The following is a 22,157-nucleotide window of genomic DNA, read 5'->3' as shown; positions in this document are numbered from 1 at the left end:
AAAATGAGGGAGACACAGAGGAGGAAACCATAAAATCTGCATAGAAATTGCCTTCAAATTCCTTTTTTCTTTTAATTTTTTCTTTAATAGAGACAGGGTCTTGCTATGTTGCCCAGGCTGGTCTCAAACGCCTGGGCTCAAGTGATCTCCCGCCTCAGACTCCCAAAGTGCTGGGATTATTGGTGTGAGCCACCACACCTGGCCAGAGCAACCTTTCTTTCTGAGACGGAGTCTTGCTGTCACCCAGGCTGGAGTGCAGTGGCTCACTGCAACCTCCATCTCCTAGGTTCAAGCGATTCTCCTGTCTCAGCCTCCTGAGTAGCTGGGACTACAGGCGCCCGCCACCACACCCAGTTAATTTTTTGTATTTTTAGTACAGACGGGTTTTCACCATGTTAGCCAGGATGGTCTCAATCTCCTGACCTCGTGATCCGCCTGCCTCGGCTTCCCAAAGTGCTAGGATTACAGGCGTGAGCCACTGCGCCCGGCCCAGAGCAACATTTCATAATGAAAAAAAGGTAAATTTACTAGAAAGACATAGCAATCTTAAATGTGCATGCAAACAATAACAGAGTTTTATAACCTGTGAAGCAAAAAATTGATAAAGAGAAATGGACAAATTTTCAATCACAGTTGGAGATTTTAACACCCCTCATTTAGTAACAGATAAAGTAAATAGACAAACATCAATAATGATATAGAAGAATTGAAAACTGTTGGTCATTTAGGTCTAGCTATTGAAAAACACATCTTCTTTTCACGTGCACATAAAACATTCACCAAAATATTCTAGGCTCCAAAACAAATCTCAAGAAATTTCAAAGGATTGGAAAATATACAATCTGATATAACAGAAATAAATTAGAAATGAATAATAAGATACCTAGAATACTCCTAAACATTTGTATATTAATTACATTTCTGAAAAACACTTCTGAATGGATCAAAGTAGAAATCACGGGAGAAATTAGATACTATTTCAAAATGAATGACAATAAAAACACATTTTGGGATGCAGCTAAAGCAGTTCTTAGATGGAAATTTATAACTTAAAATACTTTAGAAAAGAAAAAGAGTTTTAAAGTTAACTGTCTGTTTCCAGCTTAAGCATGTAAAAAAGAAAGAAGAAATACATAGGAAAAGGAAATAATAAAAATAACAATTAATGATGTAAAAAAATCAAGACAAAAATCAGTTCACTGAAAGGATAAATAAGATAAAATTGATAGTCCTCTAGCAAGACTGATCAAGAAAAAAAGAAGACAAAACACAAATAGCCATTATCAGGAATGAAAGAAGGGGTATCATCACATTATAGATTGTACTGATTATTATTATTATTATTATTTTTTTAAGAGACAGGGTCTTGCTCTGTTGTCCACTGCCCAGGCTGGAGTGCAGTGGCATGACTGTAGCTCGCTGCAGCCTGGAACTCCAGGGCTCAAGCGATCCTCCTGCCTCAGCCTCTCAAGTGGCTGAAACCACAGGTGCATGCCACCATGCCTGGCTAATTAAAAAAAATTTTTTTTTTTTAATTTTTGTAGGAATGGAGTCTTGTTATGTTGCCCAGGCTGGTCTTGAACTTCTAGCCTCAAGTAATCCTCCCTCCTTATCCTCCCAAAGTACTGGGATTACAGGTGTGAGCCACCATACCCCATCCAGATATTCAATATAATGAAGGAATATTGTGAATAGCTTTACTTCACAAAATTTAACAACTTAGATAAAATGAGCAAATTCTTTGAAAACATAAGTTTCCAAAACGTACACAAGAAGAAATGGAAAATATGAATAATCCTACATGTACTGATGAAATTGAATTAATCATTTAAACTTTCCACAGAGAAAACTCCAGGCCCAGATGGCTTTATGAGTAAATTCTAAAAAATGTTGAAAGAAGAAATAATACCAATCTTACACAAACTATATTTCAGAAAGGAGAAGAAAAGAAAACTTTTTCCAATTTGTTTTATGAGTGCTGATACCAAAATATGACAAGGACATTACAAAAAAAGACCAATATTCCTCATGAAACATAAACATAAAAATTTAAAAAATATATTAGCAAGCTGGGGCCAGGCACGGTGGCTCACGCCTGTAATCCCAGTAGTTTGGGAGGCCAAGGTGGGCAGATCATGAAGCTAGGAGTTCAAGATCAGCCTGACCAATATGGTGAAACCACATCTCTACTAAATATACAAAAATTAGCAGGGTATGGTGGTACACACCTGCAATCCCAGCTACTCAGGAGGCTGAGGCAAGAGAATCGCTTGAACCCGGGAGGCAGAGGTTGCAGTGAGCCAAGATCGTGCCACTGAACTCCAGCCTGGGCCACAGAGCGAGACTCCATCTCAAAAAGTAAATACAATAAAATATTAGCAGGCTGGGCATGGTGGCAATAAATAAAATAAAATAAAATAAAATAAAATATTAGCAGGCTGGGCATGGTGGCAATAAATAAAATAAAATAAAATATTAGCAGGCTGGGCATGGTGGCTCATGCCCGTAATCCTAGCACTTTAGGAGGCCGAAGCAGGAGGATTGCTTAAGTCTAGCAGTTTGAGACCAGCCTTGGCAAAATAGCAAGACCCCCGTCTTTACAAAAAAATTTTAAAAAATTAGCCAGATGTGGTCGGGTGCAGTGGCTCATGTCTGTAATCCCAGCACTTTGGGAGGCTGAGGTGAGCGGATCACCTGAGGTCAGGAGTTCGAGGCCAGCCTGGCCAACATGGTGAAACCCCATCTCTACTTAAAATACAAAAATTAGCCGGGTGTGGTGGCAGGTGACTGTAATACCAACTACTTGGGAGGTTGAGGCAGGAAAATCACTTGAACCCAGGAGGTGGAGGTTGCAGTGAGCCGAGATTGCACCATTGCACTCCAGCCTGGGGGACAAGAGTGAGATGTCTCAAAAAAAAAAAAAAAAAGAAAAAAGAAAAAAAATTAGCCAGATGTGGTGATGCACCTGTAGTCCCGGCTACTCTGGAGGCTGAGGTGGGAGGATTGTTTGAGCCTAGCAGGTTGAGGCTGCACTAAGCGATGATCATGCCACTGCACTGCAGCCTGGGCAACAGAGCAAAACCCCATCTCTAAAAAAAAAAATTACTGGCTGGGTACAATGGCTCATGCCTGTAATCCCAGCACTTTGGGAGGCTGAGGTGGGCAGGTCGCCTAAGGTCAGTTTGAGACCAGCCTGGCCAACATGGTGAAACTCCATCTCTACTAAAAATACAAAAATTAGCCGGGTGTGGTGGCAGGCGCCTGTTAATCCCAGCTACTCAGGAGGCTGAGGCAAGAGAATTGCTTGAACCTGGGAGGCGGAGGTTGCAGTGAGCAGAGACTGTGCCATTGCACTCCAGCCTGGGCGACAAGAGCAAGACTTTGTCTCAAAAACAAAAAAAAATTAAACTGAATCAAGACATATATAAAAATGATGATCATCATGATCAAGTAGGGTATAGTCTCAATTCAAGTTTAGTTAACATTTGAAAAATCAATGTATTATGTAATTGCAGTTTTTGCCATTATTTCATTGGCAAAACAGCAATTACTTTTCCACCAACCTAATAATTCACCATATTATAGAATTAAAGGACAAAAATAATACAATTGTCCAAATAAAAGTAGAGAAAGCATTTGTCAAACTTCAACAATTAACAGTTGTGATAAACAAAACTCAACAAAATTTTAACAGACTGATAAAGAACACCTATGAAAAACCTAAGGCTAATATCACACTTACTAGTAAAATATTGAACAGTCTCCCACTAAGATCATGAACAAGGCAAGGGTGTCTGTTTTCACTATTTCCAAGTAACACTGTTGGAAGTCCAGTACAACAAGGCAAGGAAAAGAAATAAAAAGTGTAAAGATTGGGAAGAAAGAACTAAAACAGTCATTATTCATAGATAATATGATTACATATTTAGAAAAATCATTGAGAATCTACAAAAAACTGTCATAATAAGCAAAAGTACCAAGGTTTCAAGGACATAAAATCAATATGTAAAAATTGGTTTCACATATATACCAAACAGCAAATGACTGGAAAATAGAAAATTTTTAAATTATTGTAATTTCACTAAGAAAAACAAAATACTGAGGAATAGATTTAATACAAGGTGAGCAGGGCATTGTCGAGGGAAATTGACTAAATAACTGGAGAGATACACCATGTTTGTAAATTAAAAGACTTAATATTGTTAACGTGTCAGTTCTCTCCAAGCTTATTTACAGATTCAACCCAATCAACATAATCTCAGAAAAGCTTTGAATAGAAATTGACAAGATGGGCCGGGCACGGTGGCTCACACCTGTAATCCCAGCACTTTTGGAGGCCGAGGTGGGCGGATCACAAGGTCTGGAGTTCGAGACCAGCCTGGCCAACATGGTGAAACCCCATCTTTACTAAAAATACAAAAATTAGCCAGGCATGGTGGTGGGTGCCTGTAGTCCCAGCTATTCGGGAGCTGAGTCAGGAGAATTGCTTGAACCCAGGAGGGGGAGGTTGCAGTGAGCCGAGATCCTGCCACTGCACTCCAGTCTGGGCGACAGAGTGAGACTCCGTCTCAAAAAAACAAAAACAAAAACAAAAAGAACTTGACAAGATGATTTGAAAACTTATATAGAAATGCAAAACACTAGAATAGCCAAAACAATCTTTTTTTTTTTTTTTTTTTTGAGACAGGGCCTCGCTTGGTTGCCCAGGCTGGAGTGCAGTGGCATGATCTTGGCTCACTGCAACGTCGACCTCTTTAGACTCAAGTGATCCTCCTGCCTCAGCCTCCCAAGTTGCTGGGAATACAGGCACACACCACACCTGGCTGATTTTTGTATTTTTTTGTAGAGACAGGGTTTTGCCAAGTTGCCCCAGCTGGTCTCAAACTCCCGGGCTCAAGTGATCTGCTCGCCTCGGCCTCCCAAAATGCTGAGATTACAGGTGTGAGCCACTGTGCCTGGCTCAAAACAATCTTAAAAAGTAAAAGAAACAAAGTTGGAGGACTTATACTAAATGATTTTAAGGTTTAATATAAAGCTACAGTAATAAAAAATAGCGTGGTATTGTTATAGGGAAAATATATACATCAGTGACACAGACTAGAAAGTCAATAAACCATTCCTCATATATATAGTTAATTTATTTTTAATAAAGGTACGCAGGTATTCAATGGGAAAAGAGTCTTTTCATCAAATAGTGTTTTGAAAACTGGATATTCATATGGGCTGAGTGCAGTGGCTCCAACCTATAATCCTGGCACTTTGTTAGGCTTGAGCCCAGGGGTTTGAGACCAGCCTGTGCAACATAGGGAGACTCCATTTCTACAAAAAATAAAATTAGTGGGGCATAGTGGCGTGCACCTAAAGTCCTAGCTACTCGGGAAGCTGGGCAGGAGGACTGCTTGAGCCCAAGAAGTCGAGGCTGCAGTGAGCTAGGATCACACCACTGCACTCCAGCCTGGGCGACAGAGACCAAAAAAAAAAAAAAAAGGTATTCTTGGCCAGCCTCAGTGGCTCACACCTGTAATCCCAGCACTTTAGAAGGCCCAGGCAGGTGGATCAGTTGAGGTCAGGAGTTCGAGACCAGCCTAGCCAGTATGGTGAAACCCCATGTCTACCAAAAATACAAAAATTAGCTGGGCATGGTGGGGCATGCCTGTAATCCAAGCTACTCAGGAGGTTGAGGCAGGAGAATCGCTTGAACCTGGGAGGCAGAGGTTGCAGTGAGCAGAGATCGAGACATTGCACTCCAGCCTGGGTGACAGTGAGACTCTATCTCAAAAAAAAGAAAAGAAAAAAGAAAAAAAAAAGAGCTTTGTCTTTCACTTCATATTATATACAAGAATTAATTTGAGACAGGTTATAGATATAAATACAAAGCCTAAAATCATAAAGCTTTTAGAAGCAAAGAAGAATATCTTTATGATTAAGGGTAGGGAAAGATGTCTTAGAGAGGATACAAAAGGCATTAACCATAAATGAGACAAAAAAGATAAACTGGACTCATCAGAACTAAAATGTCTGCTCATTAGAAGACACTGTTGAGAAAATGAAGAGACAAGCCACAGGTTGGGAGAAAATCTTTACAATGCAATGCAATACTTTTTTTTCTTTTGAGACAGAGTCTTTTTCAGGATAGAGTGCAGTGGCATGATCTCACTACAACCTCCGCCTCCTGGGTTCAAGCGATTCTCCTGCCTCAGCCTCCCCAATAGCTGGGATTACAGGCGTGTGCCACCACGCCCGGCTAGTTTTTTTTGTATTTTTGGTAGAGACGGGGTTTTACTGTGTCTCAAACACAGTTTGAGGCCAGGCTGGTCTCAAACTCCTGAACTCAAGTGATCTGCCTGCCTCAGCCTCCCAAAGTGCTGGGATTACAGGCATGAGCCACCTCGGCTGGCCCAATACCTATTTTTGACAAAGCATTTGTATCATAATATATAAAGAATTACTAATCCATAATAAAAAGACAATTGATAACAAAATGGACTAAAGGCTTGAACAGATACTTTATAAAAGAAGATATCTGGACAGCAAAAAAAAGCACAGAAGGCCAGGTACAGTGGCCCACACCTGTAATCCCAGCACTTGGGGAGGAGGCCGAGGCAGGAGGATTGCTTGAGCCCAGGAGTTCAAGACCAGCTTGGACAACAGAGCAAGACCTCATCTCTTTTTAAAAAATTAATTAATCAATTAAAAAAGAGGCCAGGTATGGTGGCTCACACCTGTAATCCCAGCACTTTGGGAGGCTGAGGCAGATGGAACACGAGGTCAGGAGTTTGAGACCAGCCTGGCCAACACAGTGAAACCCCGTCTCTACTAAAAATACAAAAATTAGACCGGTCACGGTGGCTCATGCCTGTAATCCCAGCACTTTGGGAAGCCGAGGCAGGCAGATCACCTGAGGTCGGGAGTTGGAGATCAGCCTGACCAACACGGTAAAACCCCATCTCTACTAAAAATACAAAATAGGCCGGGTATGGTGGTGCATGCCTGTAATCCCAGCTACTTGGGAGGCTGAGGCAGGAAAATTGCTTGAACCTGGGAGGTGGAGGTTGCGGTGAGCTGAGATCGTGCCATTGCACTCCAGCCTGGGCCACAAGAGTGAAACTCCATCTCAATAAATAAAATAAAATAAAAATACCAGCTGGGTGTGGTGGCTCATGTCTGTAATCCCAGCACTTTGGGAGGCCAGGCGGGCAGATCACCTAAGGTTAGGAGTTTGAGACCAGCCTGGCCAACATGGTGAAATCCCATCTCTACTAAAAATACAAAAATTAGCCGGGCATGGTGGTGCATGCCTGTAATCTCAGCTACTTGGGAGGCTGAGGCAGGAGAATTGCTTGAACCTGGAAGGTGGAGGTTGTGGTGAGCTGAGATCACGCCACTTCACTCCAGTCTGGGCAACAGAGCGAGACTCAGTCAAAAAAAAAGAAAAAAGAAATAAAGGAAAGAAAGAAAAGAAAAAAGAAAAGAGCACATGAAAAGGCATTCAATGACCAGGAGTGGTGGCTCACGCCTGTAATTCCAGCACTTTGGGAGGCTGAGGTGGGCAGACTGCCTGAGGTCAGGAGTCTGAGACTAGCCTGGCTAACATGGCGAAACCCTGTCTGTACTAAAAATACAAAAAAATTAGCCTGGCGTGGTGGCGTGTGCCTGTAATCCCAGCTACTTGGGAGGCTGAGGCAGGGGAATTGCTTGAACCAGGGAGGTGGAGGTTGCAAGCAGCCAAGATGGCGCCACTGCACTCCAGCCTCGGTGACAGAGCGAGACTTCGTCTCAAAGAAGAAAAAAAGAAAAGGCATTCAACATCATTAGTCACCAGAGAAATACAAATTAAAGCCACAATGAGATACCAACATGCACCCACCAAATAGTTCAAATTAACAACACTGACAATGCCGAATGTTGACAAGGGTGTAAACAACGAGAACTCTCATATATTGCTGTTAGAATATGAAATGGCACTGTTAGTGGTGGTAGTTACCTGTATGAGTCTGCGGCGACCTCCGTTCTTGCCTTCTCAGAAGAAAGAATTCGACTGAGGGCCGTAAGGCATAAGGAGAGAGATCAAGGCAAGTTTTAGAACAGGAGTGAGTTACTAAAAAGCTTTAGAGCAGTAAGGAAAGGAAGGAAAGTACACTTGGAAGAGGGCCAAGCGGGCGACTCAAGAGACCCTAGTGCACAGCTCGACGTCTCGACTTGGGGTTTTGCACATTGGCCTACTTCCGGAGTCTTGTTCTCCCCATTCCTTGGATCTTATTGGAAAGCTGCTGGTCACCAATTTCAGGTGTTTTCCATCTATTAAGAGACGGCCTTTCCCTGCACTGGCTGTGATCAATTATTACTTTAGAGAGACAGTTAACAACCACCTGACCATCACCTGATGGTTGCCCGACACTCCTAGTGTGTGTGGGGAGCCTTCTCCTGGCCTGCTCATACCTGACTAGCTACCTACTGTAGCGGCTCAGCCATTTTGGAAAAGTGTTTGACCATTTGTTATAAAGTTAAACACACACCAACTCTGACAGTTTATAAGAGTATAAACTTAAATGTATACCTACTCTTATGACTCAATTCCACTCCTAAATATTTTCTCAAGAGAAGTGAAAACATATGTCCACAAAAAGACTTGTGTAACAATGTTTGTAGCAGCTTTATTCATAATAGCCCAAAACTGGAAAGAACTCAAATGTCCATCAGGAGGAGAATGGATAAACAAGCTGTAGTATATTAAGGCAATGGAACATCACTTAGCACATTTTTGTTTTTTTGAGACAGGGTCTCCCTCTGTTGCCAAGGCTGGAGTGCAGTGGTGTGATATCAGCTGACTGCAGCATCTACCTCCTGGGCTCAAGCAATCCTCCCACCTCAGCCTCCCAAGTAGCTGGGAACACAGGTGCACGCCACCACATCCAGCTAATTTTTAAGTTTTTTTAGAGACGGAGTCTCCCTATGTTGCCCAGGCTGGTTTCAAACTCCTGGTGCTCAAGTGATCCTCCTGCTTTGGCCTTCCAAAGTGCTGGAATTAAAGGCACGAGCCCCTGCACCCAGCCTACTTAACAATTTTTAAAAACCTACTTATTCATTCAACAACGTGGATGACTCAAAAATCTTATGTAGAGTGACAAAATCTAGAACTAACAAGAACACTAATCACTGGTCATAGAAATCAGAAAAGTGGTTGTCAGAGTAAACAGAAAACCTACAGAATGGGAGAAAATATTTGCAAACCATGCAGTCGACAAAGGTCTAATATCCGGAATCTATAAGGAACTTAAAGAATTCAACAAACAAAAAACAAATAACTCCATTAAAAAGTGGACAAATACACGAACAGACACTTCTCAAAATAAGACAAGAGTGGCTGGGTGCAGTGGCTCATGCCTGTAATCCCAGCACTTTGGGAGGCTGAGGCGGGTGGATCACCTGAGGTTGGGAGTTCGAGACCAGCCTGAGCAACATGGAGAAACCCGTCTCTACTAAAAATACAAAAATTAGCCAGGTGTGGTGGTGCATGCCTGTAATCCCAGCTACTTGGGAGGCTGAGGCAGGAGAATCGCTTGAATCCGGGAGGCAGAGGTTTCGGTGAGCCAAGGTCATGCCATTGTACTCCAGGCTAAGCAACAAGAACATAACTCCGTCTCAAAAAATAAAAAAACAAACAAACAAACAAACAAATAAATAAGACAAGAGTGGCCAAAAAACATGAAGAAATGCTCAACATCACTAGTCATCAGAGAAATGCAAATCAAAACCACAATCAGGGTCTGGGCCAGGTGCAGTGGGTCACACCTGTAATCCCAGCACTTTGGGAGGCCGAGATGGGTGGATCACTTGAGGTCAGGAGTTTGAGACCAGCCTGGCCAACATAGCAAAACGCCATCTCTACTAAAAATACAAAATTAGCCAGGTATGGTGGCTCATGCCTGTAATCCCAGCTACATGGGAGGCTGAGGTGTGAGAATCACTTGAACCTGGGAGGCAGAGGTTGCAGTGAGCTGAGATGGGACCACTGCACTCCAGCCTGGACAACAAAGCGGGACTCTCAAAACAAAAACAAAAACAAACCACAATGAGATAACATCTCACACCAGTCAAAATGGCTATTCCTAAAAAGTCAAAAAACAACAGATGCTGTCAAGGCTGCGGAGAAAAGAAAACACTTATATGCTGTTGGTGGGAATGTAAACTAGTCCAGCCACTGTGGAAAGCAGTTTGGAGATTTCTTTTTTTTTTTTTTGAGACGGAGTTTCACTCTTGTTGCCCAGGCTGGAGTGCAGTGGCTCGATCTCGGCTCATTGCAGCCTCTGCCTCCCGGGTTCAGGCAATTCTCCTGCCTCAGCCTCCCGAGTAGCTGGGATTACAGGTGCACACCACCACGTCCAGCTAATTTTTAGTAGAGATGGGGTTTTGCAATATTGCCCAGGCTGGTCTCGAACTCCTGACCTCAGGTGATCCACATGCCTCAGCCTCCCAAAGCGTTGGGTTTACAGGCATAAGCCACTGCGCCCGGCTGGTTTGGAGATTTCTAAAAGTACTTAAAGCAGAACTACCATTCGATCCAGCAATCCATTCCTGGGTATATATATTATTAAAAGAAATATATGTAAATATACATAAAATATATTTTTCTTTTTCTGACCTTCACCAGGAGGCAGAGCTCGGAGTCCCGATTTTCTCCTGTAGCTGTGGCCTGGACATGGCGGCTCCTGGCCCTGTGACTCCAGAGGTCCCCTTTGAACCATGGAAGCCCCCAGTCATTTAGGGGTTTAGCTCCACTGTTTACAGCAATCCAGAGAGTTTCAAGGAAAAATTCCTTCACAAGACCCGCGAGAACCACATGGTACCCAGGTTGCCTAGGCATGGCGACCGCCCTCACCTACGGCCTCTACTGCTTCCACCAGGGCCACAGTCAGCGCTCTCAGCTCATGACACGCACCCGGATCGCTGTCCAGGGCTTCACAGTCGCAGCCATCTTGCTGGGTCTAGTCACAACTGCTATGAAGTCTCAATCCTGAGCCCATGGTCTGGCCTTGAAAGCTCTGCAGAGATCATTCCAAAACCCAGGAGCAACCACTGGCCCTGCCGTGGGACTTAGTCCTTCCTCCCCTTTCAGAGGCCCCAGTGTCGTTGGGGGTGGAAGTGATCCTTTGTGTACCCGCAACTAAAATACTTTTTCAAAAATCCCAGATTCTGTTGTTTGAATGTTACATACCTCTATTTGTGCCACATCTCTTCCACTCCCCTGCTTAATAAACTCTAATCCACTTATAAAATATATATAAAGTTATTATTTTTGAGACAGAGTCACTCTGTCACCCAGGCTGGAGTGCAGTGGTGTGATCTCAGCTCACTGCAACCTCCACCTCCTGGGTTCAAGCTATTTTCATGCCTCAGCCTCCCAAGTATCTGGGATTACAGGCGGCCCCCACCATGCCCAGCTGATTTTTGTATTTTTAGTAGATATGGGGTTTCGCCATGTCGGCCAGGCTGGTCTCGAACTGCTGATCTCAAGTGATCCACCTGCCTTGGCCTCCCAAAGCACTGGGATGACAGGAATAAGCCACTTTGTCTGGCCTATATAAATATATATAATATATTAAATTATTATTATTATTTGAAATGGAGTCTCACTCTGTCACCCAGGCTGTAGTGCAATGGCGCGATCTTGGCTCACTGCAACCTCTGCCTTCCAGGTTCAAGCGATTCTCATGCTTCAGCCTCCCGAGTACCTGGGATTACAGGCCACCAAGTCTGGCTCACTTTTTTTGTATTTTTAGTAGAGACAGGGTTTCACCATGTTGGCCAGGCTGGTCTTGAACTCTTGGCCTCAAGTGATCTGCCCGCCTCGGCCTCTCAAAGTGCTGGGATAACAGGCGTGAGCCATTGTGCCCGGCCATGTTAAATTATATGTATGTGTGTGTGTGTGTGTGTGTGTGTTTATATATATATATATATATATATTTTTTTTTTTTTTTTTTTTTCCTGAGATGGAGTTTTGCTCTTGTTGCCCAGGCTGGAGTGCAATGGTGCCATCTCGGCTCACCGCAACCTCCACCTCCCGAATTCTAGCGATTCTCCTACCTCAGCCTCCCGAGTAGGTTGATTAGGCTGGTCTCGAACTCCTGACCTCAGGCGATCTGCCTGCCTCGGCCTCCCAAAATGTTAGGATTACAGGTGTGAGCCACTGTAAATTATATATTAAGTATATAATATATTATACATATTAAAATAAAATAAATCATTCTACCAAAAAGACACATACACTTGTATGTTTTTCACACCGCTATTTACAATAGCAAAGACATGGAATCAACCTCAGTGTCCATTAATGGTGGACTGGATAAAGAAAATGTGGTACATATACACCATGCAATACTATACAGCCATAAAAAAAAAATGAATGAAATCATGTCCTTTACAGCAACATGGATGCAGCTGGAGGCATTATTCTAAGCAAAGTAACTAAGGAACAGAAAACCAAATACCACATGTTCTTACTTGTAAGTGGGAACTAAACATTGGGTACTCAGGGACATAAAGACAGCAACAATAGACACTGGGGACTACTAGATGGGGAAGGAAGGAGGAAAAGGGTTGAAAAACCAACTATTGGCCGGGCACAGTGGCTCATGCTTGTAATCCCAGAACTTTGGGAGGCTGAGGCAGGCAGATCACAAGGTCAGGAGTTCCAGACCAGCCTGGCCAACATGGTGAAACCTTGTCTCTACTAAAAATACAAAAACTAGCCAGGTGCGGTGGCAGGCGCCTGTAATCCCAGCTACTTGGGAGGCTGAGGCAGGAGAATTGCTTGAACTCGGGAGGCGGAGGTTGCAGTGAGTCGAGATTGCACCACTGCACTACAGCCTGGATGACAGAGCAAGACTCTGTCTTGGGAAAAAAAAAAAAGAAAAACCAACTATTGGGTACTATGCTCACTACCTGGGTGATGGCATCAATTGTACCCCAAACCTCAGCATCACACAACATATCCATGTAACAAACCTGCACGTGTACCCCCAAATATAAAATAAAAGTTGAATTTTTAAAAAATTTATATTTATTTATTTTGAGATGGCGTCTCACCCTGTTGCCCAGGCTGGAGTGCAATGGGGCAATCTCGGCTCACTGCAACCTCCGCCTCTCAGGTTCAAGTGATTCTCCTGACTCAGCCTCCCGAGTAGCTGGGATTACAGGTGGGCGCCACCACACCCGGCTAATTTTTTGTATCTTTAGTAGAGACAGGGTTTCGCCATGTTGGTCAGGCTGGTCTCGAACTTCTGACCTCATGATCTGCACACCTTGGTCTCCCAAAGTGCTGGGATTACAGGCGTCAGCCAGGGTGCCCGGCCACTAAATTTTTTTTTTTTTTTTTTTTTTTTTTTTTGAGATGGAGTCTGCTCTGTTGCCCAGGCTGGAGTGCAGTGGTGCAATCTCGGCTCACTGCGACCCCGCCTCCTGGGTTCAAGCGATTCTCCTGCTCAGCCTCCTCAGTAGCTGGGGTTACAGGCGCCCATGACCACGCCTGGCTAATTTTTGTATTTTTGGTAGAGACAGGGTTTCACCATGTTGGCCAGGCTGGTCTGGAGCTCCTGACCTCAGGTGATCTGCCTGCCTCAGCCTCCCAAAGTGCTGGGTTTACAGGCATGAGCCGCCACACCCGGCCTAAAAGTTGAAATTATTAATAAAGAGTCATGGCGCAGGCAGAGGAAGATGTTAGAGATTACAATTTGACTGAGGAACAGAAGGCGATCAAGGCCAAGTATCCGCCAGTCAATAGGAAGTACGAGTATTTGGATCATACGGCGGATGTGCAGTTACACGCATGGGGAGATACTCTGGAGGAAGCATTCGAGCAATGTGCAATGGCCATGTTTGGTTACATGACAGATACTGGGACAGTGGAGCCCCTCCCAACAGTAGAAGTAGAAACCCAAGGAAATGACTTACAGACTCTTCTGTTTCACTTTTTGGATGAATGGCTTTATAAGTTCAGTGCTGATGAATTCTTCATACCCCGGAAAGTGAAAGTACTTAGTATTGATCAAAGAAATTTCAAATTATGATCAATTGGGTGGGGAGAAGAGTTTTCATTGTCCAAGCATCCTCAGGGAACAGAAGTCAAGGCAATAACATATTCAGCAATGCAGGTCTATAATGAAGAGAAGCTGGAAGTTTTTGTGATCATTGGCATTTAAGACACCAAAAAAGAAAAGACTCCTATGAAGAACTGTTTTTTTTTCCTCTTCCTTTTGAGAAGACAGTATGAATTAAATTCTACAGCATCTTTTGATATATGGAAATTTGTAGAACAGAAATGTTTTAAGTGTGACTTTCAGAAAGGGAAAATCAGGGCACAGCCTTGCTCTGTGTTCCCCAAATATTCAGACTTTAAAGAATTCTTCAACCCCCAAGGGAGAGTTATGGTCCTTTGATTCTCTGCTGTGGCAGTAGGTGCCTCATGCCCTTCCAGTGCAATGCAAGCCCTCCAGCCTCGCCCCAGAGAGGAGCACTGTTGTCAACAGCAGCCTGAGGCTGAATCCAGGTTGAAAAAAGAATAACCCCAAGTTGGTTAAGACATATATTTTCTTTCTTTCTTTCTTTTTTTTTTTTCTTTTTTTTTGAGACAGAGTCTCGCTCTGTAGCCCAGGCTGAAGCGCAGTGGCGTGAGCTCGGCTTACTGCAAGCTCCGCCTCCCGGGTTCACACCATTCTCCTGCCTCAGCCTCCTGAGTAGCTGGGACTATAGGCACCCACCACCACGCCCTGCTAATTTTTGTATTTTTAGTAGAGACGGGGTTTCACCGTGTTAGCTAGGATGGTCTCGATCTCCTGACCTTGTGATCTGCCCACCTTGGCCTCCCAAAGTACTGGGATTACAGGCATGAGCCACCACGCCCGGCCACAAGACATGTATTTTCTATATGTACATCAAGGGAGGTTGTGTTTTAGGTTGCTGTAGGACAGAGCTATCCTGTATTCCAGTTGGTTTTTGTAGAGAAACAATTAGACTTCTCTACATGGAGCCCTGATTTTTCTCTCATGCTTTCACTTTTTTAAAAGCACCAATGATATTTCCTGTTTTCTCATAAGAAAAAGTCAATATTATGCCTTACAAAGAGACCTTTCCTTCTAATATAGAATTTTATTTGAAAGTGAGTATGTGTGTATAACTAGAGAATAAAAGAATTTTTGAAAAATTAAAAAAAGAAATTATTAATAAATAATAATGAGAAAAAAATTTTGAAAGTGATAAAAGAGAAAAGTGGGTGTCTCCAGGGGTAGGGTAGAGATTGAATGGAAAGGCACCCAGGGAATTTTCTGGGGTGTTGAAAATATTCTATGTCTTGAAAGGGGTGGTGATTACACAAGATGTACACAATTGTCAAAACTAATCAAACTGTATGCTTAGGATTTGTGCATTTTTTTGGATGTAAATTATACATTAATTTAAAAAATATAGGCTGGGCATGGTGGCTCATGCCTGTAATCCCAACACTTTGGGGGGCCGAAGTGGGCATATCATTTGAGCTTAGGAGTTCAAGACCAGCCTGGGCAACATGGCAAAACCCCATTTCTATAAAAAATACAAAAAATGGCCCAATGTGGTGGTGCATGCCTATAATCCCAGCTATTAGGGAGGCTGAGGTGGGAGGATTGCTTGAGCCCAGGAAGCAGAGGCTGCAGTGAGCTGAGATCAGGCTACTGCACTCCAGCCTAGGCGACAAGACAACTTGACCTTACTGTTTTAGGCTGGCCCTCATGTCTGTGTGCGGCGGCTGCCACCACTCTAATCCTTTTATAAAGGACCTCAAAATCACAAACTCTGCTCAACTCACTCTCTACAGTTCTCATAACTTTCAAAATCTATTTTCTTCCGCACACCTGACACATCTACTTTCTGCTCCCCGGCTCCTTCAGCTATACTCACTCTTCGTTGAGTCTCCCACAATTACCACTGTTCCTGGCCCGGACTTCAATCCAGCCTCCCACAATATTCCTGATACCACACCTGACCCCCATGACCGTATCTCTCTGATCCACCTGACATTCACTTCATTTCCCCATATTTCCTTCTTTCCTGTTCCTCACCCTGATCACACTTTGGTTCATTGATGGCTGTTCCACCAGGCCTAATCGCCACTCACCAGCAAAGGCAGGCTGTGCTATAGTGTCTTCCACATCTATCATTGAGGACACCGTGCTGCCCACCTCCACTACCTCTCAGCAAGCTGAACTCATTGCCTTAAATGGGACCCTCAGTCTTGCAAAGGGACTGTGTGTCAATATTTATACTGACTCTAAATATGCCTTCCATATCCTGCTCCACCATGCTGTTATATGGGCAGAAAGAGGTTTCCTCACTACGCAAGGGTCCTCCATTATTAATGCCTCTTTAATACTCTTCTTAAGGCCGCTTTACTTCCAAAAGAAGCTGGAGTCATTCCCTGCAAAGGCCATCAAAGGACCTCAGACCCCACTGCTCAAGGTAACAATTATGCTGATAAGACAGCTAAATAAGCAGCCAGTATTCCTATTTCTGTCCCTCACAGCCAGTTTTTCTCCTTCTCATCAGTCACTCCTACTTACTCTCCCACTGAAGTTTCCACCTATCAATCCCTCCCCACTCAAGACAAATGGTTCTTAGACCAAGGAAAATATGCCCTTCCAGCCTCACAGGATTAGGTCTCTTCTTCCTTACTCTACTCTTTACAACAAGGCTTTATGCAGTCACCCCCTCCTTCCTGGCGTCACCCCCTCCTTCTTGGACTGCACCTCACAAACTTTTTCATCCCTGCTATTTTCCTCTTCACCATTCTCACCTACTCATAAATGCCCTGCTCTTGTTTACACTGACAGTTTACACCTTTTCTCCAAACCATCACAGCTGATATCTCCTGGTGCTATCCCCAAACCACCACTCTTGACTCCCTTTTGGAGTGGATGGAAGATCTTTGCTGGCAGGGCACACTCCAATACTTTCACCCTGATGAAATCCTATTCTTTACTTTTATACTCACTTTTAACCTCAATTCCCATTCTTATGCTGCCCTCTACCCTTAAATTTTCTTTAAGGTGTCCACACAGTCCTGGTCACGCTTGAAGCAGTCCTGAGAAACATCGCCCCTACGCCAATAATCCCCGGAAGAAACTTACATTTTCTTTATCTTTTCTTATAACTGTATATTTTATAAATAAAAAGACCGGAATGTCAAGCCTCTGAGCCAAAGCTCAGTGTCACGCGTGTCCATGTGAAAAGAGTCCACCAACAGGCTTTGTGTGAGCAACAAGGCTGTTTATTTCACCTGGGTGCAGGCGGGCTGAGTCCAAAAAAGGAGTCAGCAAAGGGTGGTGGGATTATCATTAGTTCTTATAGGTTTGGGATAGGTGGTGGAGTTAGGAGCAATTTTTTGTGGGCAGGAGGTGGATCTCACAAAGTACATTCTCAAGGGCAGGGAAAATATCACAAAGTACCTTCTTAAAGGTGGGGGAGGATATTACAAAGTACATGATCGCAAGGGCGGGGAGGGTGTATTGTCATAAGGTCAATTGATCAGTTAGGGTGGGGCAGGAACAGATCACAATGGTGGAATGTCATCTTCTGTGGTTCTTCAGTTGCTTCAGGCCATCTGGATGTATACGTGCAGGTCACAGGGGATATGATGGCTTAGCTTGGGCTCAGAGGCCTGACAGTCAGCCATTATAACCCCTGTGACCTGCACATATAAGTCCAGATGGCCTGCAGGAGCCAAGAAGTCTAGAGCAGACGAAAAATCACAAAGAAGTGAAACAGCCAGTTCCTGCCTTAACTAATTAATCCACCTTATGACATTCTACCATTATGACTTTTTCCTGCCCTGCCCCAGCTGATCAATTGACCCTGGGACATTCTTCTTCTGGACAATGAGTCCCATGATCTCTACACCATGCACCTTGGGACCCCCTCCTCTGCTAACAATAGATAACCACCTTTAACTGTAACTTTCCACTGCCTACCCAAACCCTATAAAGCTGCCCCTTTCTTATCTCCCTTCGCTGACTGCTTTTTCAGAGTCAGTCTGCCTGCACCCAGGTGATTAAAAAGCTTTATTCCTCGCACAAAGTCTGCTTGCTGGTCTCTTCACACAGATGTGCTTGACAAAAATCAAGTGCTCCAACTCTCTCTCTCTTTTTTTTAAAGAGATAGGGTCTTGCTATGTTGCCCAGGTAGGTCTCGAACTCCTGGCCTCGAGCTGTCCTCCCACTTTGGCACTCCAAAATGTTGTGATTACAGGTGTGAGCCCCTTACACCTGGCCCCAGCTATTTTTGAATTGAGCTTTCCTTACACAAAAAAACCCTTGCATCTTTAAATGCATTTTCAGAAGGGATCCTTTTCATTTTGCTGGTTTCCTTCTTCCATTCACAAGAATTTTTCAGCACAAAAAACATGGTGGCTTTTGTGGACTGTCATGTTCATTGCCAAAACTGAAACTGGATAATACGTATTTATCATATGTCTCTTTCTTCAATACTACAACTGTAATGTGGTATGATAGTGTTGTAGGAGTTAAGAAATTATTTTAGGCAGATAAGAGAGGAAAAGGGGTCCCTGGGAAGTTTTCGTTTTTAAAGCAGCTCTTAGAGCCAGGCCGGCAACCTTTGATATGCAAATGAAGGCCATTAGAAACTGGGTCCACCCAAACATGGCGATTCCTGCGAACTTCTTGCCCTTGCCCCACATGTTCCTGGCAACATGGCCACCCCTACATATCCCCATGTGTGTAGAACATCATGGCACCCTGCGTTTGCATATTAAAAGGCTAGGGTGGGAGGGCCAGCTTTTTCACGGGCTGCATGAATGACATGCCTGGTCAAACCAATCCCCTGAGCCCTATGCAAATCAAACACTGCTTCCTCCAGCCTCTACATATACCTGGCTGGTATCCACCACACTTGGGGTTCCCTCTTTGGACTTTGGAGCCCCCCTCCTTCTGTCTCTGTATGGGGGAGCTTCTTTCTGTCTTCTCCCTTTCTTCTTGCCTACTAAACTCTCCGCTCCTTAAAACTACTCCATATGTGTCCATGTCATTCTTTTTTTTTTTTTTTTTTGAGATGGAGTCTCACTCTGTCGCTCAGGCTGGAGTGCAGTGGCACGATCTCGACTCACTGCAACCTCTGCCTCCCTGGCTCAAGCGATTCTCCTGCCTCAGCCTCCCGAGTAGCTGGGATTATAGGCATGCGCCACCACACCCAGCTAATTTTTGTATTTTTAGTAGAGACGGAGTTTCACCATCTTGGCCAGGCTGGTCTGGAACTCCTGACCTCGTGATCCACCTGCCTCAAAGTGCTGGGATTACAGGCGTGGGCCACCATGCCCGGCTGAGCCTGCCTTCTTGTTTCAGCTCTCACACTGTAAACATGTGTCCTTTTGGTGGTCTATTTAGTGCCACTTTTTTTTTTTTTTTTGAGACAGAGTCTCGCTCTGTCGCCCAGAGCTAGAGTGCAATGGCGCGATCTCGGCTCACTGCAACCTCTGCCTCCCAGGTTCAAGCAATTCTCCTGCCTCAGCCTCCCGAGTAGCTGAGACTACAGGTGCGTGTCACCACACTCGGCTAATTTTTGTATTTTTAGTAGAGATGGGGTTTCACCATGTTGGCCAGGCTGGTCTTGAACTCCTAACCTTGTGATCTGCCTGCCTCAGCCTCCCAAAGTGCAGGGATTACAGGCGTGAGCCACCACGCCCAGCCAGTGCCACTTTTTTTGTATTTTGTGCTTTTTGTTGCTGGTTTTCTTGCTTCATGTGGCCCCCAAGTGAACTGCTGATGAGCTTTCTGGTGCTCCTAAGAGCAAGAAGGATGTGATGTGCTATAGGGAGAAAATCTGTGCGTTGGAGAAGCTTCATTCAGGTGTGAGTTATGGTGCCGTGAGTCCAATATTAATGAATCAGGCTGGGCGTGGTGGCTCATGTCTGTAATTCTGGCACTTTAGGAGGCCGAGGCAGGAGGATCACCTGAGGTCAGGAGTTAGACCAGCCTGGCCAACATGGTGAAACCCCATCTCTACTAAAAACTACAAAAAATTAGCTGGGCATGGTGGCACATGCCTGTAATCCCAGCTATTCAGCAGGCTGAGGCAGGAGAATGGCTTGAACCTGGGAGGCGGAGGTTGCAGTGAGCCAAGATCATGTCATTGTACTCCAACCTGGGCAACAAGAGTAAAACTGCATCTAAAAAAAAAAAATTAATGAATCAACTGTATATTAACTTCAGTGTCTTTAAACAGAAACAAACATAAAAAAAGGTTATGCGTTGGTCGACTGAGGAAAATATTGTGACTAGGCCGGGCATGGTGGCTCAAGCCTGTAATTCCAGCACTTTGGGAGGCCGAGGTGAGCGGATCACTTGAGGCCAGGAGTTTGAGACCAGCCTGGTCAACATGGTGAAACCCCATCTCTACTAAAAATAAAAAAAATTAGCCAGGCGTGGTGGCACACACCTGTAATCACAGCTACTTGGGAGGCTGAGGCACGAGAATCACTTGAATCCAGGCAGTGGAGGTTGCAGTTTGCTGAGAATGCACCACACACCACTGCACTCCAGCCTGGGCAATAGAGTGAGACTCGGTCCAAAAAAAAAAAAAGAAAGAAAGAAAATACTGTGACCAGACCCTCACAGGTACCTAAGGAGGAACCTAATTTCTCCCAGGAGCAAAGCTTCAACATTCACTAATCCAGTGTTTGTGGTGATTTTATAGAACATAACCACCACGAATCAGGAGCATGGGCTGTACCTCCTGCTGGTTGTGTTTCTCTGGTTGCGATCTGACTGATATAGTGACAAAGTCACAGAACTGCTAATACTATTGTGGTTTTTTGCCACTACCTTAACAAATTTTGAAGAAAAGTTAAGGGTTGGTGAAAACAAAGATGTCTATTTATTCCCATCCATGCATATGAGTCCCCTGAATGCTCTCTGTGGACCCTGTGGGCATTCGTGGACCCCAGGTTAAGACCACCTGCAGGTTAACAGAGGATAATGCAAAGGCCCACACCAATCATGGTGAAGGGTGGAGGTAGCAATGTTCCCACAGGCTCTGAGGAAGCAGTGAAGCTGGAAGGCCCCACCGGGGAACTGGAGGCTGAGGGCTCAGCAGGCCTGTGGGCTCTGCTCCCCAGCTGAAGACACGGTACCCCTAGTTCTTCCTTAAGCTGTGGTTGCCCCAAGCTAGATCCATCCGAAAAAACCATGGCTGCCTACGGGTGTTGAGGAAGCGTTGTTTGCAAGGGCTGGGGTTTGCCCCAGTGGCTCTGAGGCCTCTCCCTCTCCTTGCACTAAACTCAGACAATTCTGTTCTTCTCCTATTATTCTACCTGTGATTTTAAGTGCTCCTCGTATCTGCACAAACTTACCCCCATCTCTTTTTATTGAAAAAGCAAACAGATCCCCTGATTCTTTGGGTCTGGGATGATACTTTGGCTGACTATCTGTGCCCTCCACCCACTACACCCTCCCAGAAAATGAAATTAATCTACTTAGGTTCATCACAAAGGTGGGCTGGTCGACCCAGTGGCAGACCGTCCCGCCCATGTCACCATACCAAGCGCCCTTCTGCTTCAGGTCCTGGGAGGTCAGGACTTCCTGGTGTCATCCTCAGACGGCGGGACAAGGCTGGGGCTGGATTCTTCCTGTCTGGGTTCACCTCCAATTGCTGGTGCTTCCTTAAGCACAGCACTATTGCCCCCATGTTTATGAACGGGAAAGGATACTAATTAGAACCAGCCAAAGGAAGAGACACAGGGTAGAGTCCAGGGAGGGTCCTGATGAGGAGCTGGCAGCCACCGGTGTGGCATCACCTCCTTCTTGCTGTGATGTGTGACAATTCGCAGAGTACCGCCAACGGGTGTGGCATCACCTCCTCCTTGCTGTGATGTATGACAATTCGCAGAGTACCGCCAACCACGGAAGCTTCCCCGGGCTTTGATGTCAGAATTTGTGTTGCAGTTTCCCTCTGTGGGCAGGGTGATGGAATCATTGCCTGTGAGGTTGAACTGGGTCTCTAGCTTGTTTCTTCGCCCCGGGGGTTGCTCTGACAGCTCTCGCCCTCAGGGGCCCATCATGAGTCACCTCATTAGGGTAACGGTAAACCATCAGGTGTGGTCTTCCAGGAGCCAGGACAAA

The 22,157-nt window shown here is 44.7% G+C and overlaps 2 pseudogenes; both read left to right on the top strand.

The window, feature by feature from the left end:
• Positions 10,700-11,012, top strand: HIGD2AP1 (HIGD2A pseudogene 1; annotated as a pseudogene).
• ZBTB8OSP2 (zinc finger and BTB domain containing 8 opposite strand pseudogene 2) lies at positions 13,792-14,649 on the top strand (annotated as a pseudogene).
• The last annotated feature ends 7,508 nt before the right edge of the window (positions 14,650-22,157 follow it).

This window comes from Homo sapiens, chromosome 2 (genome assembly GCF_000001405.40).
Source record: "Homo sapiens chromosome 2, GRCh38.p14 Primary Assembly".
In the NCBI taxonomy this organism is placed as follows: domain Eukaryota; kingdom Metazoa; phylum Chordata; class Mammalia; order Primates; family Hominidae; genus Homo; species Homo sapiens.
Note: the sequence above shows the minus strand (reverse complement) of the source record. Positions and strands in the feature narration are given on the sequence as shown.